The sequence below is a fragment of the Homo sapiens genome, chromosome 5, assembly GCF_000001405.40.
Source record: "Homo sapiens chromosome 5, GRCh38.p14 Primary Assembly".
In the NCBI taxonomy this organism is placed as follows: Eukaryota; Metazoa; Chordata; class Mammalia; order Primates; family Hominidae; genus Homo; species Homo sapiens.
This window is the reverse complement of record NC_000005.10, coordinates 77,070,332-77,095,393: the sequence shown is the minus strand read 5'-3', so window position 1 is coordinate 77,095,393 and position 25,062 is coordinate 77,070,332. Positions and strand designations below refer to the sequence as shown.

Here is a 25,062-nt window from a genome sequence, read left to right as displayed (position 1 = left end):
AGGATGATCCTGAGGACAAAGCACAATCGGAACAATGGCTAACAAGAGAAGAAAGTTACACAGGCAAAGCAAAAGCAGACCAGTCAAGACCAAAGTTCCTGGCAACAATTTTTGGGGATGCTCAAGGCATTTCACCTGTTGACTTTCTGAGGGGCCAAACAACGATGACATCTGCTTATTATGAGAGTGTCTTGAGAAAGTTAACCAAAGCTTTAGCAAAAAAAAACATCTGGGAAAGCTTCACCAGAGAGAGTATTTCTCTACCACAATAATGCTCCTGCTCATTCCTCTCATCAAACAAGGGCAATTTTTTGAGAGTTTCATAGAAAATCTTTAGGCATCTACCTTACAGAGCTGACGTGGCTCTGTCTGACTTCTTTTTTTTCTAATTGATATAGTTTGAATATCTGTCCCCTCCAAGTCTCACGCTGAAGTTTGATTCCCAATGTTGCAGGTGGGGCATAATGGGAGGTATGTGAGTCATGGGGGCAGATCCCTCAAAAATAGATTAAAGCCCTACCTGGGGGGTATGAGTTCTCACTCTTACTTCCCTCCAGATCTGGTTGTTAAAAAGAGTCTGGTGCCTCCCTCTACTCTCTCTTTCCTCTCCTCTTGCTATGATGTCTGCTCCCCTTCCCCTTTTATCATAAGTGGAAGCTTCCTGAGGTCCTCACCAGAAGCAGATGCTGACACCATGCTACTTGTACAGCCTGCAGAACTGAGAGTCAAATAAACCTCCTTTCAGATAGCAATGCAAAATGGACTAAGACACTAATATTTAAAAAAAATGGCAGGCATAGTGGCTCATGCTTATAATCCCAAGACTTTGAGAAGCCAAAATGAGAGGATCACTTGAGCCCAGGAGTTCAAGACCAGCCTGGGCAACATGGTGAGACTCTGTCTCTACACAAAATACAAAATTAACCAGGCATGGTGGTGCCTGCCTGTCTCTGCTACTTGGGAGGCTGAAGTGGGAGGATTGCTTGAACCCAGGAGGTCGAGGCTGTAGTGAGCCATGATTACACAACTGCACCCCAGCCTGAGTGGCAGAGTGAGACTCCCTCTCAAAAAAAGTATGTAAAGTGTACCCATTTTTCTTCAGTTAATGATGTAAGAAAGACTGCATTGACATGGCTAAATTCCCAGGATGCTGGGAATGGACTAGATGGCTGGTGTCATCACTTAGAAAAGTGTCTTGAACTTAATGGAGTTTATGTTGAGAAATAAAATGTATATTTCTCATTTTTATCTTTTAATTCCATTTTTCCACAACCTTTTTGAAGTCCCCTCATATTCTTCCCTACAGGTTCCGAAGGTAACATAGCCCAGCTGACACCTTAATTTTGACTTCTAACCAAACCTCCAGGACTATGGAAGAATAAACACCTGTTGTTTTAAGCCAATCTGTTTGTGATACTTTGTTGTGGCAGCTCTAGGAAACTGATAGAGTAGATATTCAACATTGGACTCAGCCCTCCCGGCGGCCAAAGCAGGAGACATAATCCACAGTGGGATTAAAAGGTCCCATTTGTTCAGGGCATGCAGAGCTTTTCATGACACCGAGAGATCAGAGAAAGGTCTCCTCTAGATCCTACAGAGAAAACACTGTGGGATGCAGTAGATAGCTGTAGCAGATGACATCATGACACTAAATCTGATAATGAAGTTTATGCATCTGTTTCCTACAAGGTGCCTTGCTGAAGGTAGTTGGCATTACCACAGGGATTCATCTTGTTTGAGCCCTAACTGAAAAGGAACAACGATGAATAGCACAAACAATGCCCAACACCAAAGACATCTCAACTGGGTCAGCTCACACGATTCTCACTGAAAAATTTTAGTTGAGCAAAGTTTCTACTCATTGGGTGCCAAAACCACTGTGCTCAGATCAGCTGTGCAGAAGAGCAGAATAAACAAAGTTTAGTAAAAGCACATCCAAGAACCAGAAAGGAAAGAGGGGACATTACCATCAACCTTATAGAAATAAAAAAAAGTATAAAAAATACTATACTATGAAAAAGTATATACCAACACCTTAGATCATGTTGATGAAACCAACAAATTCCTGGAAAAAATACAAACTACCAAAACTGACTCAAGAAGAAACAGACAATCTGAACAGACATATAATAAATGAAGACATTGAATTAGTAATCAACCACCTATGCATAAATCAAAGCCTGGGTCCAGATGGCTTCATTGTTGAATCTACCAAACATTTAAAGAAAAATTAATAGCAATTCTTCACAAACTCTTTCAAAAATAGAAAAAAGCACTTGCCAACTCACTTTATGAGGCTAGCATTACTCTTATACCAAAAACAAGATAAAAACAGCCCAAGAAAGAAACCTACAGATCAAAAGCACATCTGGGATGCACCAGAACAGTGTGGTCCAAAGGACACAGCTCCATAATTGCATGTCTTTGAGACAATCTTGATAAATATTTTTCTCAAACTGGGTTTGGTTTTGAGACAGGATCTCACTCCATCACCCAGGCTGGAGTGTATTGGTGTATGTGATCAGGTCTCACTGCAGCCTTCATCTCCTGAGCTCAAACAATGCTCCCACCTCAGCCTCCTGAGTAGCTGGGACCACAGATGTGTGCTACCATGCTGGGGTGATTTTTGTATTTTTTTTTTAAGAGGTGATTTCACCATGTCGTCCAGGCTGGTCTCGAACTCCTGGGCTCAAGTAATCCGCCTGCTTTGGCCTCCCAAAGTGCTGGGATTACAGGTGTGAGCCGCTGCACTGGGCCCAGCCTCAAAGTGGGTTTCTGATAGCAGATTTCAAGGCTGTAATTTCTGAAGAGAATAGGGAGAGTAAATATTCTGTATTTCCAATGAAATGCAGGTCCTTACTTTTTGCCAACTTCCAGGGCAGGGTACAGAAATGAGATCCTCCTGTGAAAATTAAATGTTATTTATTTATGGTTACACGCGTGATGAAAGTTAGGGGAACTGCCACTACCAAGAAAGCAAGAACTGAAGGTTGTTTTTTTTTGCTGAAACTTGAACAAAGGATGTAGGGCAAAGAAGAAAAGTTATTAGATATTTGAGACATATTTTGTAGTTTGATTTTAAATTTAACACAAGAAAGAGATTTCTGATTACACGAAAATTTAAGAATTTAGAAAATTATTAAATTTAAGCATTGACTCACAAAATTTAAGAAAATTTAAGCACTGACTCACAAAAAAGCTAAGCTCCTTTTATCTGACTTTAAAAATAAATAAAAAATACATCTTGTTAAGATAATAAACATATAATGCCAGGAATCCAAATCCTACTCTTTTTCAAGCCTTGATTAAATGCTGCCACTTTCAAAAATATGTAGCCATTCTCAATTTATTATGGCACTTGAATATTTCCTCTTATATAATTTTTCACTTTCTTCTTAGAGTTGCATATGTCTTACTGTCATACTGGAGTGTAATCCTCTTGAGGGCAGGAATAGTCTCCAGACTCCTGCTTAGGCTTAAGATGGTGCTTTGCCCATAACCAGCACTTACTAAAAACTCCTCTATGAACTAATGAAAATATCATGTATCTCATTACGTGGTCAGTTTAAAGTTAAATGGATTCTTTTAGACACTCAAAGCAATAAAGCTTCTTCTTAAAAGAATTACCAGATACAATAAACTGTAAAAAATTGTTCAAATATTGAAACATGAATTAGAGATGACTTTAACCTGATTTGTTTATACTAGTTACTTTTCTTTTTTATTTATTTATTTTATTTTATTATTATTTTTCAGACAGAGTCTCACTCTGTCGCCCAGTCTGGAGTGCAGTTGCACGATCTCGGCTCGCTGCAACCTCCGCCTCCGGGTTCAAGCAATTCTCCCGCCTCAGGCTCCCAGGTAGCTGGGCTTATAGGGACCCACCACCACACCCGGCTAATTTTTGTATTTTTCTAGTAGAGATGGGGTTTCACCATGTTGGTCAGGCTGGTCTTGAACTCCTGACCTCAGGTGATCCACTCGCCTGGGCCTCCCAAAATGCTGGGATTACAGGCGTGAGCCACTGCACCTGGCCATTTATACTAGTTACTTTTCTTTTTCATTTTTTTATTGATACGAAATATTTGTATGTATTTATGGGGTGCATGGGATATTTTGATGCATGCATACAATGTGTAATGATCGTCAGGGTTATCAGGATACCCATCACCTTGAACATTTATCATTTCTTTGTATTGGGAACATTTTAAATCTTCTCTTCTACTCGACATCACTAATTAGCAGAGAAATTGCAAGTCAAAATGACATCACCTCACACCTGTTAGGATGACTATTATCAAAAAGTCAAAAGACAGCAAGTATTGGTGAAGATTAGAGAAATGGGGATGCTTGTACCCTATTGGTGGAAATGTCAATTGGTGCAGCCATTATTGAAAATAGTATAGAGAGGTTCCTCAAAAAATTAAAAATAGAACTACCATATGATCCACTAATACTACTATTGGGTATATTTCCAAAAGAAATAAAAATACTATCTCCAAGAAGTATCTGCAGTCCCATGTTAATTGCAGCATTATTTACAGAAGCCAAAAGATATGGTAACAATCTAAGTGTCCATCAACTGATGAATAAAAAAAGAAACTGTGGTGTGTATTCACACATACACACACACACACACACGGATATTATTCAGCCTTAAAGAAAAAGGAACTCTTACCATTTGCAACAACATGGATGTCTTAGAGAAGAGTATGCTAAGTGAAATAAGCCAGACACAGAAAGACAAATACTGCATGATCTCATATATATGTGGAATCTTAGAAATTAAAGTCAAACTCATAGAAAAAAAATCTTCTCTTCGGCTGGGTGCGGTGGCTCACGCCTGTAATCCCAGCACTTTGGGAGGTTGAGGCGGGTGTATCACAAGGTCAGGAGATCGAGACCATACTGGCTAACACAGTGAAACCCCGTCTCTACTAAAAATACAAAAAAATTAATGGGTGTGGTGGCGGGCGCCTGTAGTTCCCTTAGTCCCAGCTACTCAGAAGGCTGAGGCAGGAGAATGGCATGAATAAAAACACTAGCTCCACACAAGCTCCCGGGAGGCGGAGCTTGCAGTGAGCCGAGATCGTGCCACTGCACTCCAGCCTGGGCGACAGAGCAAGACTCCGTCTCAAAAAAAAGAAAAAAAGAAAAAAATCTTCTCTTTGGAAATACAGTCACCCTTCCGTGTTATCAAAAACTAGAACTTATTCCATCTTATCTGTTTGCTTGTACCCATTCACCAACCTGTCTTCACTCCCCCACCTCTACACCCTTCTGCTCTCTACCTCCATGAGATCAACTTCTTTAGCTCCCACATATGAGTGTGAACATGTGATTTTTGCCTTTCTGTGTCTGATTTATTTCACTTAACAAGATGGCCTCTAGTTCCCTGCATGTTGCTGCAAATGACAGGATTTCATTCTTTTTTATGGCTGAATAGTGTTCCATTGTGTATATATATCATATTTTCTTTACTGATCTGTTGATAGACTTTGGTTGATTTTGTATCTTGGCTATTGTGAATAGTGTGGCTATAAACGGGAGTACAAGAATCCCTTTGATACACTGATTTCCTTTCCTTTGGATAAATAACCAGTGGTGGAATTGATGGATCATATGATAGTTCTATCTTTAGTTTTCTGAGAAGCCGCCATACTGTTTTCCATAATGGGTGTATGGCTATACATTCCCACCAACAGTGTACTCATTACTTTTCTTTTTATCAGATGTCCGTAGCTGTAAGTGTCCTTTGGGCCAGAAGAAAAGTAGTAACCTAATAGTTGGCCTTCACATTGCAAAATTATCCCTTTGAACAGCAATCCCCAACCTTTTTGGCACCAGGGACTGGTTTCGTGGAAGACAATTTTTCCATGGACAGGGGTGGGGAATAGGTTTGGGATGATTCAAGCGCATCATATTTATTGTGCACTTTATTTCTATTATTATTACATTGTAATATATAATGAAATAGTTATACAACTCACCGTAATGTAGAATCAGTGGGAGCCCTGAGTTTGTTTTCCTGCAATTAGACAGGCCCGTCTGGGGGTGACAGGAGATAGTGACAGATCATCAGGCATTAGATTCTCACAAGGGGCACACAACCTAGATCCCTTGAATGTGCACAGTTCACAATTGTGCTCCTATGAGAATCTAATGCCCCAGCTGATGTGACAGGAGGTGGAGCTCAGGCGGCAATGCTAGTCATGGGGAGCGGATGTAAATACAGATGAAGCTTCCCTCATTTGCTTGCCCCTTACTCAACTCCTGCTGTGCCACCAGGTTCCTAACAGGGTACAAAGGGTACTGGTTCATGGCCCGGGGTTGGGGACCTCTGCCTTTGAAGATACCCAACCAGTTTCTTCCTCCAAAACCATTATTGGAATGGTGGATTGTATTATTGTACCCAGTTATTTCTTGTTCTTCTTTTAAGGATATTATTCAGCTCACTTATTGTTGATAGGGACAGTAGACAGGGAACTACTGGGTAGAATAAGGCCGTTCCCTGGCAAAGGCCCCACCCTCAAGCCTGGAAACCCATGGCCCTAAATGAAGAGAGGCATTCCCGTTCTTGTGCCCAAAAGTTACCTTTTGGCCCTCCATGACCCCCTATCCTGTACCCGTATAAACTCCAGACACCAGGCTCCAGCAGCAAAAGATGAGCAGATGAACAGAAGAGCAGAAGAGCAGAAGAGCCGCAGATAAAGAGAAAAGAGAAGGAATATTGGGTGGAGTTCAGCTGGGGACAGTTAGAGAATCCACCGCTGGACGGTTAAACTCCAGGGGAAGATCATCTCCCTACTCCACCCCCTTTCCAGCTCCCCATCCATCCTACTGAGTGCCACCCCTACCACCTAATAAACACCCCCAACCTTCCCCCAACTCCTCTACCCCCGCCCCCACCCCGGCACTCACCATCCTTCAAGTCCATGTGTGACCTGATTCTTCTGGGAGGTGAGACAAGAGCTGAGATACAGAAACTGTCACACTGACCCTCTGCGCTTGCAAAAAGGCAGAGGGTCTATTGAGCTGGTTAACACTTAAGCCGTCAGCTGATGGTAAGGCTAAAAGAGCACACTGTAACACACGCCCATTTGGGCTCCGGGAATCACGGGATCCTGCCCCTGGACACTGCCGTGGGGCTGGAAGCCCAGCGCCCCAGCTTTTGCACCCTGGCTCCTGCACCCGTCCGTCTGCATGCTCCACCTCCCATAAGGGGTTTCAGCAGGCAGAGACCGAACACACGAGCCACAACCCTGTTGCACGTCCTGCAAAGGGCTGTGGGAGGGCGGGGGCCGGGAGGAAATCAGGGAACTCTCCTGTTTCATTGTCACAAGACTTGCAAGGCTTCCTTAAGAGAGGGGTACACTTCCCCACCCACTGACAGCAAGTTTTGACCAATAGAAAGTGAGCAGAACTGAGGCATGCGGAATGTGAGTTTGGAAAGCAGCTTGTGCCAGTCATGTACAGGAGCTAATTGTTAAATTTCCAGGAACTTGGCAAGCCACTTGTTGGACTGTTTGTAGCTTGAAATCGGCCATTGTGGGAGCATTTACATCATAGAAATAGCAAACACTACATATCTGGACTTCCCCCTTCTCCCTCAAAGTTGGTTTACCAGCCCAGCAGGGAGCATGGCCCAGAAAAGTTGACCTTTCAGCCTGGAGTGAAGAAAACTGGTGGAGTACTGCCAAAGCTCCCTGCAGCCACAGTAATTCGCTTGAGAAATGGACCTTTAAGCCACTGAGTTGCAGGGGTTGTTCGTTACCTGAGCATCATCTAGCCAAAGCTGGTACACCATGCTGGTGTTTTGGTGAACACCAATAAGCGCCGCCTTCATCTGTCCCAACCTAGGTTGGAGGGATTTCTTCCAATAACTTGTGACATCATGCGCCTACAGCCTGCAAAGATGCAAACCGCGCTCTGAGACTCAGGCCCGGGAATTCAGGTCTTGGAAGGTTAATGCAAAGTTGTAAAACAATAGTTACATTTCAACCACACTCAGCTATTGCGTCATCTTAAAACCCTGGCCAACACAAATCTGTCGCTCGCGATCCTTGGCGGTTTCAGAGCGACTCCCCTACCGCTTTCGGGCGAAGGCCACACGTGACGGCCCCCCTTTCCCCGCAGACGTGTGAATGCAGCGCTGTGTCTTTAAGGGGCACGCGCGGAGGTTTTCCGTCCGGGACAAAATGTCAGCGAGGCGCCTGGAGGGGGATCTACCATCTCGGACTCCCGACCCGCCGCCGGCTCCGGCCGCGTTTCCCGGGTAAAGGGGTGAGTGTGGGCTTCCAGACTCGGTGGCGAGGCGGGCTGGGCCGGGCAGCGGGGAGCGCAGGTGAGCAGCGACCGCGGACGCCCCTGCCGGCCTCCCTGGCACCCGCGCGGGGCGTGCCCTTCGCTGGGCTGCCCTTCTCCGGGCCGGCTGTCGCGACTGTGAGAAAGCAGGTGGGCCCGGGATTCTGTGGCAAGGCCCCGCTCACCGTCTTCCAGTGCCTCATTCTTGCTCCTTCCCTGCACTCCTCTTTCGACAAGCTTGTTCGGAATGTGGAAATTCGTCACCACTCTCCTGCTCTCCCTTTATTAAAGTTGTCTGATTACAGTCTTTTCACTGGGCAAGTGACTGGACGCCCTGCAGTGGGTTCTTTCTGTAACTGGGACTTGCTTGATGTCGCCCACTTTCGGAGGGAGAAAGCGAATGCAAGCCAAAAGCTTACACCAGAATCCCCACCCCTCCCCCACCCCTCATGGCCCCCAAACAAAAGAATTTTCCGCTCCTTTCGGAGTCCGCTGGAGCAGTTTCTGTGATTTCTTGCACGAACCAAATGCCCGAGGCTTAGCAAAGCAAAAACCCCCTTGAAGGAAAAAAATAAATACTTACCACTAGTCGAATTTCTAATGAGCCAAGACTACAAAGATAAGGTGTTTAAGAGAAACAGTTGTAGAAACAGCTTAATACATTGACCTAATTAGGGTAATTATTTTCTGCTGTTTTTATTCATATGCTGACACCTTTTGGAGGCAAGAATAGCTTGAGGCAGCCAAGAATAAAAAAAAAAGTAGACAGCAATACGTATTATAAAAAGACCAAAAGCCCAAGCCAGGTAATTCTCAATTTAAAAATTAAATTAAAAAAATCTTTGAGTCACAAAGGCCTTCAAAGTAGGGCAGCTTTAAATTCCTATAACTCAGATTAAATTATGCATTTTTACAAGATAAAATGGATCACCACCTTAATCTTTAGGACCATATCTATTAAGCAAAGTAATGCAGACCTGAAATAAAGGTCCACTTTAAGGGCAGAACACTTCACAATTTTCATTTTTAAAAGTGCATTAATAGAGAGAGAGAGTGCTTCTCTGCCTTTTAGCTAATGGTAGAAATATCTAAGAGTTTGGCTTATGCCATTTAGGAAACAACTCTGATTCACCCCTTAATTACCTGTGAGTCCAGTGTATTTTTTACAGTCCACATATAACCTTTTTCTAAATTTTTACACATTTTACCATTTATTCCCCAACTCAGGTTTTACAGTTTGGAGGCATTTTTACTTGTCTTTTAACTTCAGCTAAGCCTTCAGCCTGGTGATTCCAGACTAATTTTTCTAATTGTCTGGATCTCTTTATAAATAGATTAATATATGGCAGTAAACTAATATTTCAACAGAGATGGACGGATAACAGATGAACTGTGGTTTTCTTGACACTTCAGTTGTCAACTCTAATTACTTGTATTAATTATTATGCTCTGCTTTCATTAAAGTCACTGGTGGATGAAGTAAAAGAAAATGTTTTTAGTGTTTCCACATATGTCTGTGTGAATTTCACGTTAGTGTGAATTTCTCATCTAAGATCCAGGCTCAACCAACATATATTGATTTAAACTCTGCCTGGTCAACCCAACTACAGTAAGTAGCCTTGAGTATAGAAGGACAAATAGAGGTGTAGTTAATCTGCTATGTCCTTTTGAGAACAGTGCCTGGTTCTTTGGCCTTTAGCCTGCCAAATATTTTTTATGTGCACAAGCATAAGTATAAAATAATACAATCAACTTTTGTAGGTGCTTTATAGGATGAGTCTCAATATTATAGTCATACCTTGTGTATATGCCCATGTTTATACAGATTATTCATCCAGGTTTTGATCTCTTCCTTTATTCTTTATATTGGTATTCAGGGACATCATACTGAGGAATCTGGGATTTAATCTGATAGTTCATCAGAAGGATAGAACTTCTTCAGAAATTGAGTCAAATGGAGAGATAATTAATGTGAATTTATTGTCTTCCACAGGCTTAGATTTAAGAACTCCTTCCAAATAATGGATACTCAAATGAAACTCAGCTATAGCAAGTGCAGAGGCATGGTACCAGCAACACTACTCTCTCTCCTTCCTTGAAATATCTAAAATCTACATTTGTCTTTTCAGTTTTTTTCACCCTGAAATTACACTCAAAAATTTCCACTGTTAATTTCATGTTAGCAGTGCTTTTATTTAGCTTCAAGAAACTTTCTTTTAAAATAGGAGCTTGGAAGCCTCGTTATACAACTGAGGAACTGGAACTTCATTAGAGTCGAGTACTAAGGGTAATGTGTTTTGGTGATGGACAACAATGCGTTTGTGCCCTGTGGGGCATGGGAGGGGAAGGGATGCTGAACTGCATGAACTTTTGTGTTAGGGCCCCTAAGACATCAGCTCCCAGGAGCTGCCCATGCCCACCCCTTCCCCAGTGGAGATTATGTGACGGAATTCACCCGAAGGAGTGAGCACTGATTTCACCTTTACCACAGTGTGTTAGTAATCTGTTTTCGCGCTGCTGATAAAGACATACCCAAGACTGGGCAATTTATAAAAGAAAGACGTTTAATGGACTTAAAGTTCCACGTGGCTAGGGAGGCCTAACAGTCATGGCGGAAGGCGGAAGGCGAAAGGCACTTCTTACCTGGCTGCGGCATGAGCTATAATGAGGGTCAAGCGAAAAGGGCTTCTCGTTTATAAAACCATCAGATCTCGTGAGATTTATTCACTAGCACAAGAACAGTATGGGAGAAACCGCGCTCGTGATTCAATTATCTCTCACCAGTTCCATCCCACAACACGTGGGAATTATGGGAGTAGGATTCAGGATGAGATTTGGGTGGGGACACAGCCAAACCATATCACACAGGTATCAGAATTATTGTTGGAAGCATCTCTTTCCCAACCAGACCGTACGCTTCCTGAGGGCAAAGACTATGTGACGTTCCTCTTGGAATGCTTGGCAGAAAGCACGCACCTGACCTTAGCAGGTGCACAATGAGCATTTGAATGAGAGTTGGATGGAGTGAATGGATGTAAGCAAAATACTCATTCATTGGCATCTTTGTGTTAGTTTAAAAATTTTTTCAAGGAAAAATTAAGGGAGCTTTTTTCATTTTCTTATTAGCTAACCACAGAATTAATGATATGCATTCTCATTGGGTATTTGGTAAGGAAGAAACGCGTTATCACAGGGCTTTGGCTAATTAAACCTCCCCATTATCTTATTTTACCCTAGTGATAAATAACCTATTTTGCATGAAGTTCAATTTAGGAAGTGAAAATAAATTTAAGGGGTAAGGGTCTTGGATCTGTTACTCTTTTTTATTTGCTCTTTGTAGTCAATTCCCAAGGGGATTCCTCCAACTTAGACTACTTACTCTGTTGAATAACATAATGTCAGATGGAAAAACAACTGCCTTTTAGCCATTAAAATCTTAACGTGGGCATGTCTGAGCAGTAAATATCGGTAGTTTCTTTATTGTTCATGTCTTAAATTTATATAACACCGGAGAGTCCAACAGTGACATCATTTGCACTATCTATGATCTCAGCCACCTGTTTAGAGGCAAATAATCTTATTATTTCTCTTGACAGATGGGAAGATTGAGACTCGGGTGGGCTGGGGCTAAAGAAACAGAGTCAGGTTCACTTCACTTAATGCAGCATCCCCCAAGTGTCTACCCTGTGCCAGGGAGATGAATGGGATGAGCTCCTCTTCCATGACATCCTGGGTGTGAACACAGAATCTCCTTCTGCAGAGCACAGCAAACCACGTGACAATGAGCAGCCTCACATGCTGGGTTTCCTCCTCCAAGCGGCGCAGCAGTGGGCTTCCCCATGGGACTGTCCCACCAGCCTCCACAGTTAAGGCTGGGCTGGCCCTGCCTGAGCTCACATGCTTGAGGAGCCAAGGGTTGTTTTGCTTTTTTGTTTTTGTTTTTTGTTTTTCTGAGATGGAGTTTCGCTCTTACTACCCAGGCTGGAGTACAATCGTGCAATCTCGGCTCACTGCAACCTCCGCCTCCCAGGTTCAAGCGATTCTCCTGCCTCAGCCTCCCGAGTAGCTGGGACTACAGGCACCCACCACCACGCCTAGCTAATTTTTTGTATTTTTAGTAGAGACGGGGTTTCACCATGTTGGCCAGGCTGGTCTTGAACTCCTGACCTCAGGTGATCTACCTGCCTTGGCCTCCCAAAGGGCTGGGATTACAGGTGTGAGCCACCACACCCAGGCCCAAGGGTTGTTTTATAAAATTATTTTTTATTTATGTAGAGATCCTGTGATATACACACTTTCCCTAAATGTATACACGTGATCACATGCATGCTTTCTTAGTACCTCATTGCTTTTACTTTTGTGTTTACCTCTTCCCCTTCTCCCTCCTTTCACATCAGTTACCATTGCCTCAACCATAGTATCTCCTTATTTTTCTTCATCTATAGCTATATATTGCCTCTACAGATATGTATATTACTTAATAATAGTGGGATCATATTATACACTCTTCTGCATCTCTCTTTTCTCCCTGAACAGTTCCTCCAGATATCCTTGTAAGACATTGAACAGAACTTCATCCTTTTCCTCTTTAATGGCTGTATAATATTCCCTGGTATGAACATATGTTATATACTCAGCCATTTTCCTGGTGGTAGGCATTCCCTTGCTTCCAGTTTCTTGTCATTCTACATGATTCTGATGTAGATTCTGATGTCATTCTACGTGAACATCCTGATACAAGACTGTGTTTATTGGTGCTGATAGTTCTATAGAAGAGATCCCCAGGAGTAGAATCTCAGGTTATCTTTTTTTTTTTTTTTTCAATACAGCATTTCGCTGTTGTCACCCAGGCTGGAATGCAATGGTGCTATCTCGGCTCACTGCAATCTCCACCTCCCAGGATCAAGCCATTCTCCTGCCTCAGCCTCCCAAGTAGCTGGGATTATAGGCACCCGCCACCATGCCCAGCTAATTTTTGTATTTTTAGTAGAGACAGGGTTTCACCATGTTGGCCAAGCTGGTCTCGAACTCCTGACCTCAGGTGATCCACCTGCTTGGAACTCCCAAAGTGTTGGGATTACAGGCGTGAGCCACCGAGCCCAGCCTCTATTTTTAATTAATATAGAAATTGCAGCTGGCCCTATCACACAGGTATCAGAATTGTTGGAAGCATCTCTTTCCCCACCAGATGGTACGCTTCCTGAGGGCAGAGACTATGTGACATTCCTCTTGGAATGCTTGGCAGAAAGCACGCACCTGACCTTAGCAGGTGCACAATGAGCATTTGAATGAGAGTTGGATGGAGTGGATGGATGTAAGCAAAATACTCAAATTCATTGGCACCTTTGTGTTAGTTTTAAAAAATGTTCAAGGAAAAATTGAGGGATCTCTTACTTTTCATTTTCTTCTTATTAGCTAACCACAGAATTAATGACATGCATTCTCATTGGGTATGCTCACGACTGTAATCCCAGCACTTTGGGAGGCCGAGGCAGGTGTATCACTTGAGCCCAGGTGTTCAAGGAAGACCAGCCTGGGCAACAGAGACCCTGTCTCTACAAAAAATACAAAAATTAGCCAAGCATGGTGGCATGCACCTGTAGTCCCAGCTACTTTGGAGGCTGAGGTGGGAGGATCACTTCTTGAGCCTGGGAAGCAGAGGTTGCAGTGAGCCATGATTGTGCCACTGCACTCCAGCCTGGGTGACAGAGCAAGACCCTGTCTTAAAAAAAATTAAAAAAAAAAAAAAAAGAAAGAAAGAAAAGAAATGGCCAGAATGCTTTCCTAAAATCCATCCCATCTTCACTAGTAATTGAGGAGTGTGCCTTTTCTCTACCTCCCTTGTAACTTTGGCTGTTAGACCTCTTAATGTTTCTTGGTGTGATGGATGTAAAACGATACCTTATTGCTACTTTAATAGCATTTCCCTGAATATAAGTGATGTTGTGCACCTTTTCATAAATTTCCTGGCCAGTGGAGCTGTTAGGTCATTTGCCTACTCATATTTCTCGTCTGTTTTTCTGTCGGTCTTTTTGTCTTTTTATTGTGTTTGAAGAGCTCTTTGTGTGTTACGGTTGTGGCTGAAGTGTCTGAAGAGGTTTCTCCCCCTCCACATTGCAGGGGCAGCTGAAATGCACTCGAGTTTTTTGTTTTTTGTTTATACTTTAAGTTCTAGGGTACATGTGCACAACGTGCAGGTTTGTTACATATGTATACATGTGCCATGTTGGTGTGCTGCACCCGTTAACTCGTCATTTACATTAGGTATATCTCCTAATGCTATCCCTCCCACGCCACCCCACGACAGGCCCCTGTGTGTGATGTTCCCCACCCTGTGTCCACGTGTTCTCATTGCTCAATTCCCACCTATGAATGAGAACATGCGGTGTTTGGTTTTCTGTCCTTGTGATAGTTTGCTCAGCTAACCAGGCTGTTACGGCCTGTGGCCATAGACTGCTGGTCACTCAGCAGATACTGAGACTGAGGATTGTATTGAGCTAGAATATAGCCGCATGATGTGGAGGACTGAGAAGGTGAGGCAGTTTTGCCCCGTGCTGCCTTCCACCGGTTAAGACCTCCAAAATCGAAGGGCTGCCCAGGCAGAGGATGTCCCCTTGCCACCCTTGGAGGGGCAGCGCTGTGCTGGCCGACATTTGTGATGCAGCCTGTCCCTGGCTCAGGTGAGGCTTCCACTAGGTCAAAAGGATTAAGACATCGAAGTCAGTGCTTCTCATCCTTGTGCCCACTTTAACTCCTAACAGATGGCATTCACCTGTGCGACACTCCCTCTGGGCATTCCAGTTTTTAAGGAAACCCAGAGAGGTAAAAAGCATGACAGTAATCAGTCACCTCTGGCACTATCAGGGGCACATCAGTAAGGATGACTCTCAGACTTTGGCACAAGTAAGAGAATCTGCGGGTTTATGTGCAGTTTCCAAGCTTTGGCTCAAGAAAGCATATCAGAATGCAAAGCAATACTCTTGATGTTATAGGAAACGTTTACATCCCTTTTAATTTATAAAGTAAATTAGTCGTAAAGATTCATTATAATAGTCTCTGCACTTTTGTGTTTGTCCAGTAATAAAAAAGGACCTCAGGAAAGATCAGATTCAATATAGAAGGAAATAGAAATTTTAAAAAAGAAAAAAGTATAGGAAAAATTTTAGGTAAAGTTAGATAATTAAAAATGTTTATAACACTTAAATCTTACTCTGTTTAGCAACCATAATGTTATATAACCATAATATTTACTGGCCATAAAAACACTATTCTTGAAGGTGGTCTGTAACTCCTCATCCTACTTTCCCCCACTTTTGAGACTTTAGCAATGTAATACATCTCTTGGGGGAAAATGTAGCCTTTAATTTCTAAAGATTTTCTATGCTAATTGGTCTTTATCATGAGTGACCATATTTAAATCAATGCCTGTGTATCAGAAGACATGTAAATAGCCATTTCTTTGTTAGAAGACGCATGGTACTTGTCTTTTTTGATGATTCTGGTATATTTGTTATCTTTTTAAAAAAATGATATGTTAAATGTCATACCTGATCCGGAGTGGACTTGCTTGGTGGGAAAAAGAATACTTAGGTTTAGAAAAGTACAGTGCATCTGCAACAAGACTATTAGCAACTGAATTCATAGTTTACACTAAATGCTACTGTAACTATAGCAGCTTATTTTTCCTATTCTCATCTTTGTCTTCAGTTTTTCCCAGTTGTGTTTAACAAGAAAGATTCTGGAACTTTGTCATCTCCATGGCTGCTGGTTCAAAATCTGACAGTATGAGCAGCATTGATCTCACTGTGCCTGGGTCTCACCTTGCCCTTGATTTTCTCCCTAAGTTCTCAGAAGAGCTCAAGAAGTCTGTCATGTGTTTTCTTCTCATTGTTTTTCAACTTTCAAAGCAAATTTATCTAGAATCACACATTTGGTCCTTTGTGAACTTATTTCCTAACTAATAAACTTCACCTTTTTCTGTATTCCCTTTTCTTTAATAGGTTATTGCAGTAGTGAATTAGTTTCCTAATAAAAAAGACTGTGCAATGACATTGCATTATGTTTGGATCCTTTTAACAGATTTTGTGTTGAACAAAGCAAGACGTTATTTTATTTCTTTTTCTTCCTTAATTAAAAGTATTGAGCAAACTTTGTATCTTGCAAATATGTAGAGGGGATCTTTTAGTTAGCACAAACAATAAAGAAAACTAATTTTATTTGTTTTATGCCTTGGGTATCTATGAAAGGGTTAGAAAAAGTGAACCAGGGCATGGCGCTGCTCAGTATTTCTAGTATCTGTCTTTAAGGTGGTTTGAATGCATTTCTTTCACTGGCCTGCCTGTCCTCTGAATTTACTCCTAGCACTGCTGATGGTTCTTCAGAACTCAGGAATCGTGTTGCATGCATTGTTTCTACCCACCTGAGATGGTTGGAAACCCTGAGGCAATGACAGGGACCCCAGAATCCTTGGGAAATTACCCACTGTCTAATTTAAAGGTAAAAATTTAGAATGCTGCTTTGGATATTGCTATTTCCTAAATGTGCATATCTTAAAAGCATTGCTTTCAGTACTGCCGATTTTCTCATAAGTAGATTGTTTTTATAATCACAAAAACATATTTTTATCTTGAAAAACATACAGTCTTTGAAAGCTTTTTAAAAGGCTGTTCACCACTGGCTCTTCCACTCCTGAAGTTTAAGAAACAAAATTTTCATTCCCAAAGCTGTCTTTTCTGGTCATTGCTCAAGTGTGCTGTGCAGCACCCAGAGAAGACTGCATAAGGGAGCCTAGCTGTTATTCTGAAGACAGTACCTTTTTTATTGTTGTCGTTGTTGTTATTAAGAAAGCAGAGACTAGTTAAAGCTAATACAGACACAGCACGGAGTTAGCTAGTTCTTTCTGTTCAAGCAGCTTAGCCTCCCGCTATTAGAATAAATACTTGTTGACTGGGGACCCACTTGATTTCAAAGAGGATTCCTAGTATAGGAAGGGCTAGATATTTTTAACAGTTTTTTCTGAGGAATCAACACTTAATACTGAAGATTAATTAGAAAGAAACTTAGACTATCTACACACACTATAGGCTTTTCATCGGTAAGAAAATGGAGGGCGGCATGGTTTCTTAGGCTAACTGTAGTCTAGGAGCTGTGTGCGTGATCCTAACACTCATTATTATTCTTCCCCTGCTCCCCAGCGTGCGGGCGCCGCAGAATGAGGAGTGGCGAGCCGGCCTGCACCATGGACCAGGCCCGCGGGCTGGACGACGCGGCGGCGCGGGGCGGTCAGTGTCCGGGACTGGGGCCGGCGCCGACGCCGACGCCTCCCGGCCGCCTGGGGGCGCCATACTCCGAGGCCTGGGGCTACTTCCACCTGGCGCCGGGGCGCCCCGGGCATCCGTCGGGCCACTGGGCCACCTGCCGTCTGTGCGGGGAGCAGGTGGGCCGCGGCCCGGGCTTCCACGCGGGGACCTCGGCGTTGTGGAGGCACCTGAGGAGCGCGCACCGGCGGGAGCTGGAGAGCAGCGGCGCCGGGAGCTCCCCACCTGCCGCGCCCTGCCCGCCGCCGCCCGGCCCCGCTGCGGCCCCCGAGGGCGACTGGGCGCGCCTGCTGGAACAGATGGGCGCGCTGGCCGTGCGCGGCAGCCGGCGGGAGCGGGAGCTGGAGCGGCGCGAGCTGGCCGTGGAGCAGGGCGAGCGCGCCCTGGAGCGGAGGCGGAGGGCGCTGCAGGAGGAAGAGCGCGCCGCGGCCCAGGCGCGCCGGGAACTGCAGGCCGAGCGGGAGGCGCTGCAGGCGCGGCTGCGGGATGTGAGCCGCCGTGAGGGCGCCCTGGGCTGGGCCCCCGCTGCGCCGCCGCCGCTCAAGGACGACCCCGAGGGTGACAGGGACGGCTGCGTCATCACAAAGGTCCTCCTGTAGGGGTGTGGCCACTTCCCCACCCCAGGACAGCGCTTCTCCGTCCAATGCCAATGCCTTCAGACCCCGCTGGGACCGAAGCCGTAACCGAAGCCAGGCCCGCAGCCGCTACTCACTCGGAAGCTCCAGCTAACTGTAGGATCTTCCACACCCTAAGGCTTCAGCTTGAGAAGCACTTCGAAGCCAGAGCAGAACCAAAACTCACTTCCATGGGGTCACCGGGGGTGCCTGGGCGGCCTTTCGTGGGCATGCACGCAAGGAATTGGGGTGGCACACGGGACACCCGAGAGCTCCAGGAGCCCCGTGAACCCAGACCACCCAGTGCCATGGCCACTTAGGGCTGGGAACCCGAACCTGGTGACTTTGAAAGGATAGAGCTTCATTCCATACCAAAGACTTATCACACCATGTGCCTATACACCCAGCAGCCCAAGGTGGAGGGTGCGTGGAAATGAGAAAGCTTTTTACCCAAAAAAAAAAAAAAAAGAGTTCCTAATGCATAATCTGCCCAACACCAAGTTCTGAAGGGTGGGTGAGGGACGTCCCCTCTAGTTTCCATGACTGCTGTAGACCCGCATCATCTCTAGCCCTCATCGGGGCAGTCCCAGAGCCCGCTTTTTTACTGCCCATATTATTCAACCAATACCAGGTGCACTCTGTCTCCCCTCGGCCATCCTTCCCTTGCTTCAGACCTAATGACAAGTGTGGCACATATGTCCACTTTCAGGCCTCACATCTGCCACCTTAGCAAGACATCACCTCATCCCCTTGTCACTAGGAAGAGGGCTTCTTCCCCACATGTCGTCATAGTGCTCACCTCTGGGCTGAAGGGGAAAGCATCCCTCCGCTTAAGGCCACATCTACCTGTCATTTTCCATCCCATTCCTCTCCCACGTTTACTGGGTCTTTCCTCCTGTAGTATTCCCCCTTTCGCTGTCTCAGTCCCTCCCTTTCCCCCAGGCTCTTCTTCCTCAGCAATGTGCAGTCTCCCTTTCTTACTGAAAAGAAAGACTTAACCCAGAAGGGCCAACAAGTCCTGGCTGCCTATCCTTCCTCCCCAGTTTTTACTCCCTCACTCTGGGTCAGTTTTCTTTTCTTTTTTTCTTTATGTGTGTATATATTATATATATATATACATATATACATATATATATACATATATACATATATATATACATATATACATATATATATACATATATACATATACATATATATATATATATATATATGTATATATAATACTTTAAGTTCTAGGGTGCATGTCAGTTTTCTATGCTTCACCAGACTATTTCCAAGCTGCCACAATCTCCCAGTGACCAAATATGATGATCTATTTGCAGCCTTCATTTTGCTTAATCTCTCCCTTGAAATTGCTCTCTTGGTAGGTGGATCCTGTTTTTCCTTCAAAGAATTCCTTTTCCTGTTGCATACTGGTTCCCAGTTTTTCCATAGGCCTCTTTTTTTTCTTATTTTTTTATATTGAAAAATTCCACACATCCAGAAAAAGTTGAAAGGCTAGCACAATGAATACTCAGATACATACTCTCCACTTGGATTGAATAGTTGTTAACATTTTGCCAGATTTACTATTCTCTCCACCCCATGCATGTGTACATAGAATGACATTTCGACCCCTGAGTATTACCACATAGATTTCCTGAGCACAAAGACACCGTTCTACATGATTACATTAAGATGATCATGCCTAAAAATATAAACAGTAACTTCTTTATAGCCTCTAATACAGAGCCCTTAATCAGTATTCAACAATTGTCTCCAGAATGTTTGTCTTTAAAAACAACGACAACAACCAGGTCCCATCAAGGTTCATACATTCTTTTGGTTTCAACTCTAGTCACTTTCAGTCTACAACAACCCCAACATATTTTCCCATGATACTTTTTGAAGCATCCAGGCCAGCTGTCTTAGCAAATGTCCTCTATTCTGGAAGTGTCTGATTGCTTCCTTAGGCCTATGTCTACACTCCACTCGTGGCTCATATCCCTGCAGAGTTGTAATCTCCTCTGGGCCAGGGACTCCTGAATATCTCCAGGCCGAGTGTTCTCCCCGGGCCTGGAGAAAACCTTCATGCCCAATCCCTTGCTGCATGTCTCCACCCCTCCTTGCACATCCTGCCTCTATGAGTGGACGAGGCAAATCTACTCAACCCCACATCCCACCCCTCACCTGATAACTAACATTTACTGGGCACTAACAATGTATCAGGCACATACTACACACTTAACATGCATTGCTTTCACATACCAGCTCCATGGTAACATTGCGCTGGCTTTACAGCTAAAGAAACTGAGCTAGAAAGGGGTTAAGTATCCTGTACAAGATCACAGCTGGCCAGCAATAGAGGTGGGATCCCACTGCAGACAGTCTCCCCCACAGATGCCATGCTCCCACTGTACCACCATGTACTGCTTCCTGAGATCTCTGCTTCCTTCAGTCGACCCAGCTGACACCTGTTTCCTTCCTAACTCCAACTAATTAATTCCAGTTAATGGAATTGACTGGAATTAGTGACATTAATATTTACTGAGCATTCCCCATGTGTCATCAGAGCTGTGCTAAATGCTTTACAAGAATAATTACCTGCCATAAAGCAACCCTATGACATAGGTGCTACTATGCCCATTTTGTAGATGAGACAGGTTCAGGGGAGTTAGTATCACCTTCAAGTCATACAGTGGCTAAGAATCTGTGGTCTCGCTGAATGCTGGGCGCCTGCTCTGCTAAGTCTATTTCTACAAAACATTGCACTGCCTTCCTGTTGCCTGCCAAGCTCAGGGCCCATTTATCATGCATCTTCCCATCCTTGTCTCCCCCAACTGTCCCTTACCTGAGTCACAATTTCGCCAAAGCCAAAGGGATTGTCCTAAGCCAATGTTGATTTATCACTCTTCCTGCTCAAAAGCCCCCAAGATCACCTATCAATCACCTACTTGAGTGCAAGCTTTGACTCTGTCACCTGACATTCAAGTCCCCCTCTGCCCCCATGCCAGTCTTATCCCCTCCCCTACATATGCCCTATCCTGCAGCCAAATTGGACTCTGTTCTTCCTGACAAGACCTGGTATTGGCATCTCTATGCCTCAGTTTGCCTTCCCTCCACTTTAAAAAGCCTCTTCAGTCTCGATACAAAAAACATCCCACACATGTTCTAAAACCATGCTTTCCTTGATTTCTCCTCATGTCAAGACATTTCTTACTTCTCTAGTCTCCTAGCATTTTGTGCCTCACAACCCTCAGGACAGGCCAGCTAGTGTATGGCTGTGGGTTTTTATCTCACCTCCCCTGCCTGACCCTGAGCCCTTGTGGGGAGTATACTCACCCTACTCCTACAGTGCCTTGCATTCCGTAGCTGCTCAGTACATTAACCCATTCAATGTCTTTAAGATTTTTACAAGTTAGTTTTCCTGTAATTACTAATCATTTATCTTTAATTCTGAGTAAAATTCACAACAACAAATAAAAGGAAATAGTAGTAATTTTTTAAGCTGTTTAGTCAATAAAGATTTAATGCGTCAGTTATTGGACTGTTTGGTTTGAAGCCAATCAACCATTCTGGTATGTAAATCTACTTTTTTATTATACAAGTAACACAAAATGTATTGCCTCAGTCAAGGAAGAAGAACAGAAAAAAACAACACCCCAAAATCCTGTCACCTCTGTAAAACTGCTATTAATTAACATTTTAATATATTTTCTTTTGTCTTTTGCAATTTTTATATTACTCTAAGTTATTTTCAAGTATTGGAACTTAACTTCTTCATATGGATTTATAAATTGGGCTAGATGATCTGAATTTCCTTTTTAGAAGGAAAAAAAAAGACTTCCACAAATGTTACTCTTCTATCTCACCAATTGTAAGAACCATTAAAACATAGGAAAGGATTTAGAATCTTAACTACTCCCTCAAAGATGGCTAGTGCGAGCCTGAATGTCCTGTTCAGGAGACAGAGAACAATTAACCTGAGTGCTGAGTTAAGGGAAGAGGTTTTTACTTTCTGCTTTATACACTTCTGCATTGTTGTAATTTTTTACACAAAGTATGAATTACTTTTATGATAAAAAAATTTTGTTTGTAGACAACATTCCTCTCCTTCAGCATTCAGCATCCTTAGTTAAAATAAAATCTCCAACGAAAGCATGGATATAATCCCCATTTCCAGAAAATCCCAGAAAGAAATGCAGCCCTTGTTCAGTCCAACTCCATCATTTGATAGATTAGGAAAATAGGTTCTAGAGAGTGACTTGTCCACTGTCAGGAGATGGTGACTGTGGCGCGTCATCTGACTCCAGCCTACTTAATGCATTTCAGTCTCTTTGGCCTTAAGGGCTCCTGCTGCTCACCTGAAATCATTCCCAAGGAACCCACAAGAGCAGGTTCCCTGGGAGGATTCCTGAGAACACCTACACACAAGCCTCAGAGATCTGCCAAGACATTCTCTTTCTGATAAATACTATTAAATATTTTTCTATCAAATAGTTGCCAAATGACCTGCTCCAGTCAAAACTCAATCTGACTTGTGACTACAAAGTAATCTGAGGAATCCCAAAGGTATATAAAAATCTATCCATCTAAGTCATCTCTCTTCAAAGTAGAAGACCTGGAAGACTATACAGTTATTCCCAAAATGCTTCAACATTTCTGGAACTCCTCTTTTAGAGTGGCCATGAGTCCCTAGCACATTCTTTAAAACATCCTTGAGTTGGCAAATACTCCTCTTTCCAGGATAAATTTGATTTTTTAAAAGAACTGCCAATTATTCAGTCTGGTGAATATGGTAGATGATTAACCAGATTAACATTTCTGGTTAATAAGGTGAGATTATAATAAAACAATGATAATTATTTTAGTGTGGCTCATAAATTGGTCTTGATAGTGGTATATTAAGGTTAAGTAAAGGCAGCATGGTCACCATACAGATTAAAGCCCATTTTAGTTGGTTTATGATGTGAATGAATTCAGGTAGCACTGGGAGTCATTATATGTTTAAATAGTATTAAAGGTTTCTTTTTATAAAAATCTTAATTATGACATTCTCTGAAATCTGGTTTCACAGTATTAAAATGAGGCTTTAAGGAAAAACATTAAATGGTAATGAAAGCTTTATTCTTTCAGTATATATTCTCGTGGGCTTTTGGTCAAGATAAGTAATGACCAGATGAATAAGCTGGCAACCTTCTGCCCTCTGAAGTCTACTAGTAATTGGAAGCTAAGTAAAACGTTGTCACATGTTTAAATACATTTGATAATATTCCACCAGCTTCTCCCTGTATTCTACATGCTGGGCAATGAAATACCATAGAATTTTAACATAGATGAAGAGTGAGTTTTTTAAAGGAAGAATTTCCAAAAGCCATTCTTGGCTGGGCATGGTAGTTCATGCCTGTAATCCCAGCACACTGGAAGGGCCAAGGCGGGAGGATCGCTTGAGCCTAGGAGTTGAAGACCAGCCTAGGCAACAGAGGGAGACCCTGTATCTACAAAAAATTAAAATTTTTAGCTAGGTGTGCTAGTACACTCTTGTCATCCCAGCTATTCAGGAGGCTGAGGTGGAAGGATTGCTTGAGCCTGGGAGGTGGAGGCTGCAGTGAGCTATGACCATGCCACTGCATTCTAGCCTGGGCAACAGAGGAAGACCTTGTCTCAAAAAAAAAAAAAAAAAAAAAAAAAAAAAAAAAAAAAAAGACATTCTTACATAGCAGGCAGATATTCTTTGCCTCTATTCACATTAACTTTCTGATCTGTTTGCTCTTCACCCTCCAAAGACTTTTTGATTTACATGTTTTCCATCACTTCCAGTTTCCAGTGACCTGATTCCTGTTGCATCTTTTTTTGTATAGTTATGAACTGCATAATGCAGTTTCATTTTTTTTTGGTAGAGTCACGCACCACATAACATTTCAGTCTATGACATACCACACATACAATGGTGGTCCTGTAAGATTACCATACTGTATTTTTACTGTACCTTTTCTATGTTTAGGTATGTTTTGATATACGAATACTTAACTGTGTTAGAATTGCCTACAGTATTCAGACCACAGAATGCTGTACAGGTTTGTAGCCTAGGAGCAATCAGTATACCACACAGCCTAGGTGTACAGTAGGCTGTACCATCTTGGTTTGTGTGAGTACCTCTACGATGTTTGTACAGTGACGAAATAACCACCAAGGCATTTCTCAGAACATATCCCCATCGTTAAGTGATACATGACTGTACTTAGTGTTCAGATTTAGAACCATAGAACCCAGATGTCTGGGCAGGCAGTTATTATTCTCAGGTAGAGGAGATACATAATTGAACAAGGGGCTGCAGCCTCAATGAGGTCTGTTGTCTACATACCCAGAACTCTCAAACACATGACTAAAAAGATTTTGAAAGCACAGTTTATAAGATTCCCCTAAATAGATCTGGTTTAGAAACAGTCTGAGAACATTAAGAAAAAAGCCCCAAATCCTTCCCGCGTCACACACTCCACCCAAATTTTTGCTTTAAAATGTTGGCTTTAAGACTTTGGAATGAACAGAAACTATTTTGGATTAATACTCTCTGGAACTATCAAGGCCTGCATGTATTACTTGGGCCTTACATTCTGCCAAATCCTATCTAAAAATAAATGTAAGCTCCATGAAGGCAGGGAGCCTTGACTGTTTTATTCACTGTTGTATCCCTAGTGCCTAGAACAGTGCCTGGCCTATGCTACGTGCTTCATGGCTATTTGCTGAATTAATGTATGCTGTTGAAAGATTTTTACATATGGGGACCGGAAATCTACTTCTTGGAATTCTCCCTGTAGCTCTCATGCTCCCATAGAGTACTGAGA

The 25,062-nt window shown here is 43.1% G+C and overlaps 2 protein-coding genes, 1 long non-coding RNA gene and 1 other non-coding gene across 16 annotated transcripts in view, besides 5 other annotated features; 2 read left to right on the top strand and 2 right to left on the bottom strand.

Annotated features, from left to right (window-relative positions):
* PDE8B (phosphodiesterase 8B) overlaps positions 1-8,679 on the bottom strand; it is a 341,542-nt gene extending 332,863 nt beyond the window's left edge. Inside the window, exons 1-2 of one of the 2 annotated variants that reach the window (NM_001414623.1) lie at positions 8,490-8,679; positions 7,775-7,907 (exon numbers count right to left, since the gene is read on the bottom strand). The gene's annotated coding sequence lies outside the window, so the exon portion shown is untranslated. Of the gene's footprint in view, positions 1-7,774 lie in introns of both variants that reach the window. The other variant, NM_001414622.1, reaches the window with a different exon arrangement.
* ZBED3-AS1 (ZBED3 antisense RNA 1) overlaps positions 1-8,679 on the bottom strand; it is a 62,587-nt gene extending 53,908 nt beyond the window's left edge. For 3 of the 10 annotated variants that reach the window (NR_024398.2, NR_182766.1, NR_182768.1), the window contains exons 1-2: positions 8,490-8,679; positions 7,775-7,907 (exon numbers count right to left, since the gene is read on the bottom strand). This is a non-coding gene — a long non-coding RNA (ZBED3 antisense RNA 1). Of the gene's footprint in view, positions 1-2,860; positions 2,903-5,990; positions 6,049-6,921; positions 7,336-7,774 lie in introns of those variants that run through there. The other 7 variants (NR_182763.1, NR_182765.1, NR_182764.1 and 4 more) reach the window with 4 other exon arrangements.
* Positions 6,646-7,246: an enhancer, noted in NCBI's record as "H3K4me1 hESC enhancer chr5:76383973-76384573 (GRCh37/hg19 assembly coordinates)". NCBI's record gives its function as "activates a minimal SCP1, AML or CMV promoter by ChIP-STARR-seq in primed H9 embryonic stem cells {active_cell/tissue: H9 hESC(primed)}" and the evidence as "EXISTENCE:reporter gene assay evidence [ECO:0000049][PMID:30033119]".
* Positions 7,247-7,849: an enhancer, noted in NCBI's record as "H3K27ac-H3K4me1 hESC enhancer chr5:76383370-76383972 (GRCh37/hg19 assembly coordinates)". NCBI's record gives its function as "activates a minimal SCP1, AML or CMV promoter by ChIP-STARR-seq in naive H9 embryonic stem cells {active_cell/tissue: H9 hESC(naive)}" and the evidence as "EXISTENCE:reporter gene assay evidence [ECO:0000049][PMID:30033119]".
* Positions 7,850-8,451: an enhancer, noted in NCBI's record as "H3K27ac hESC enhancer chr5:76382768-76383369 (GRCh37/hg19 assembly coordinates)". NCBI's record gives its function as "activates a minimal SCP1, AML or CMV promoter by ChIP-STARR-seq in naive H9 embryonic stem cells {active_cell/tissue: H9 hESC(naive)}" and the evidence as "EXISTENCE:reporter gene assay evidence [ECO:0000049][PMID:30033119]".
* Positions 8,109-23,322, top strand: ZBED3 (zinc finger BED-type containing 3). Of its 3 annotated transcripts, NM_032367.4 has the most exons (3): positions 8,109-8,283; positions 16,666-16,800; positions 17,499-23,322. In NM_032367.4, exon 3 carries the CDS (start codon positions 17,516-17,518, stop codon positions 18,218-18,220), a length of 705 nt encoding a protein of 234 aa, NP_115743.1. In that variant the 5' UTR covers positions 8,109-8,283; positions 16,666-16,800; positions 17,499-17,515; the 3' UTR covers positions 18,221-23,322. The 3 variants fall into 3 exon arrangements, 2 of the variants coding, with proteins under 2 accessions (NP_115743.1, NP_001316493.1); NR_138050.2 differs by lacking the exons at positions 16,666-16,800; positions 17,499-23,322 and adding an exon at positions 10,298-11,609; NM_001329564.2 differs by lacking the exon at positions 16,666-16,800.
* Positions 8,268-8,437: a silencer, noted in NCBI's record as "silent region_16109". NCBI's record gives its function as "represses an Ori minimal core promoter by ATAC-STARR-seq in GM12878 lymphoblastoid cells {active_cell/tissue: GM12878}" and the evidence as "EXISTENCE:reporter gene assay evidence [ECO:0000049][PMID:35858748]".
* On the top strand, positions 14,823-14,960 carry SNORA47 (small nucleolar RNA, H/ACA box 47). The gene has a single exon (NR_003014.2). It is a non-coding gene; the product is annotated as a small nucleolar RNA, H/ACA box 47 (small nucleolar RNA).
* Positions 17,547-17,956: a silencer, noted in NCBI's record as "silent region_16108". NCBI's record gives its function as "represses an Ori minimal core promoter by ATAC-STARR-seq in GM12878 lymphoblastoid cells {active_cell/tissue: GM12878}" and the evidence as "EXISTENCE:reporter gene assay evidence [ECO:0000049][PMID:35858748]".
* Positions 23,323-25,062: the final 1,740 nt, after the last annotated feature.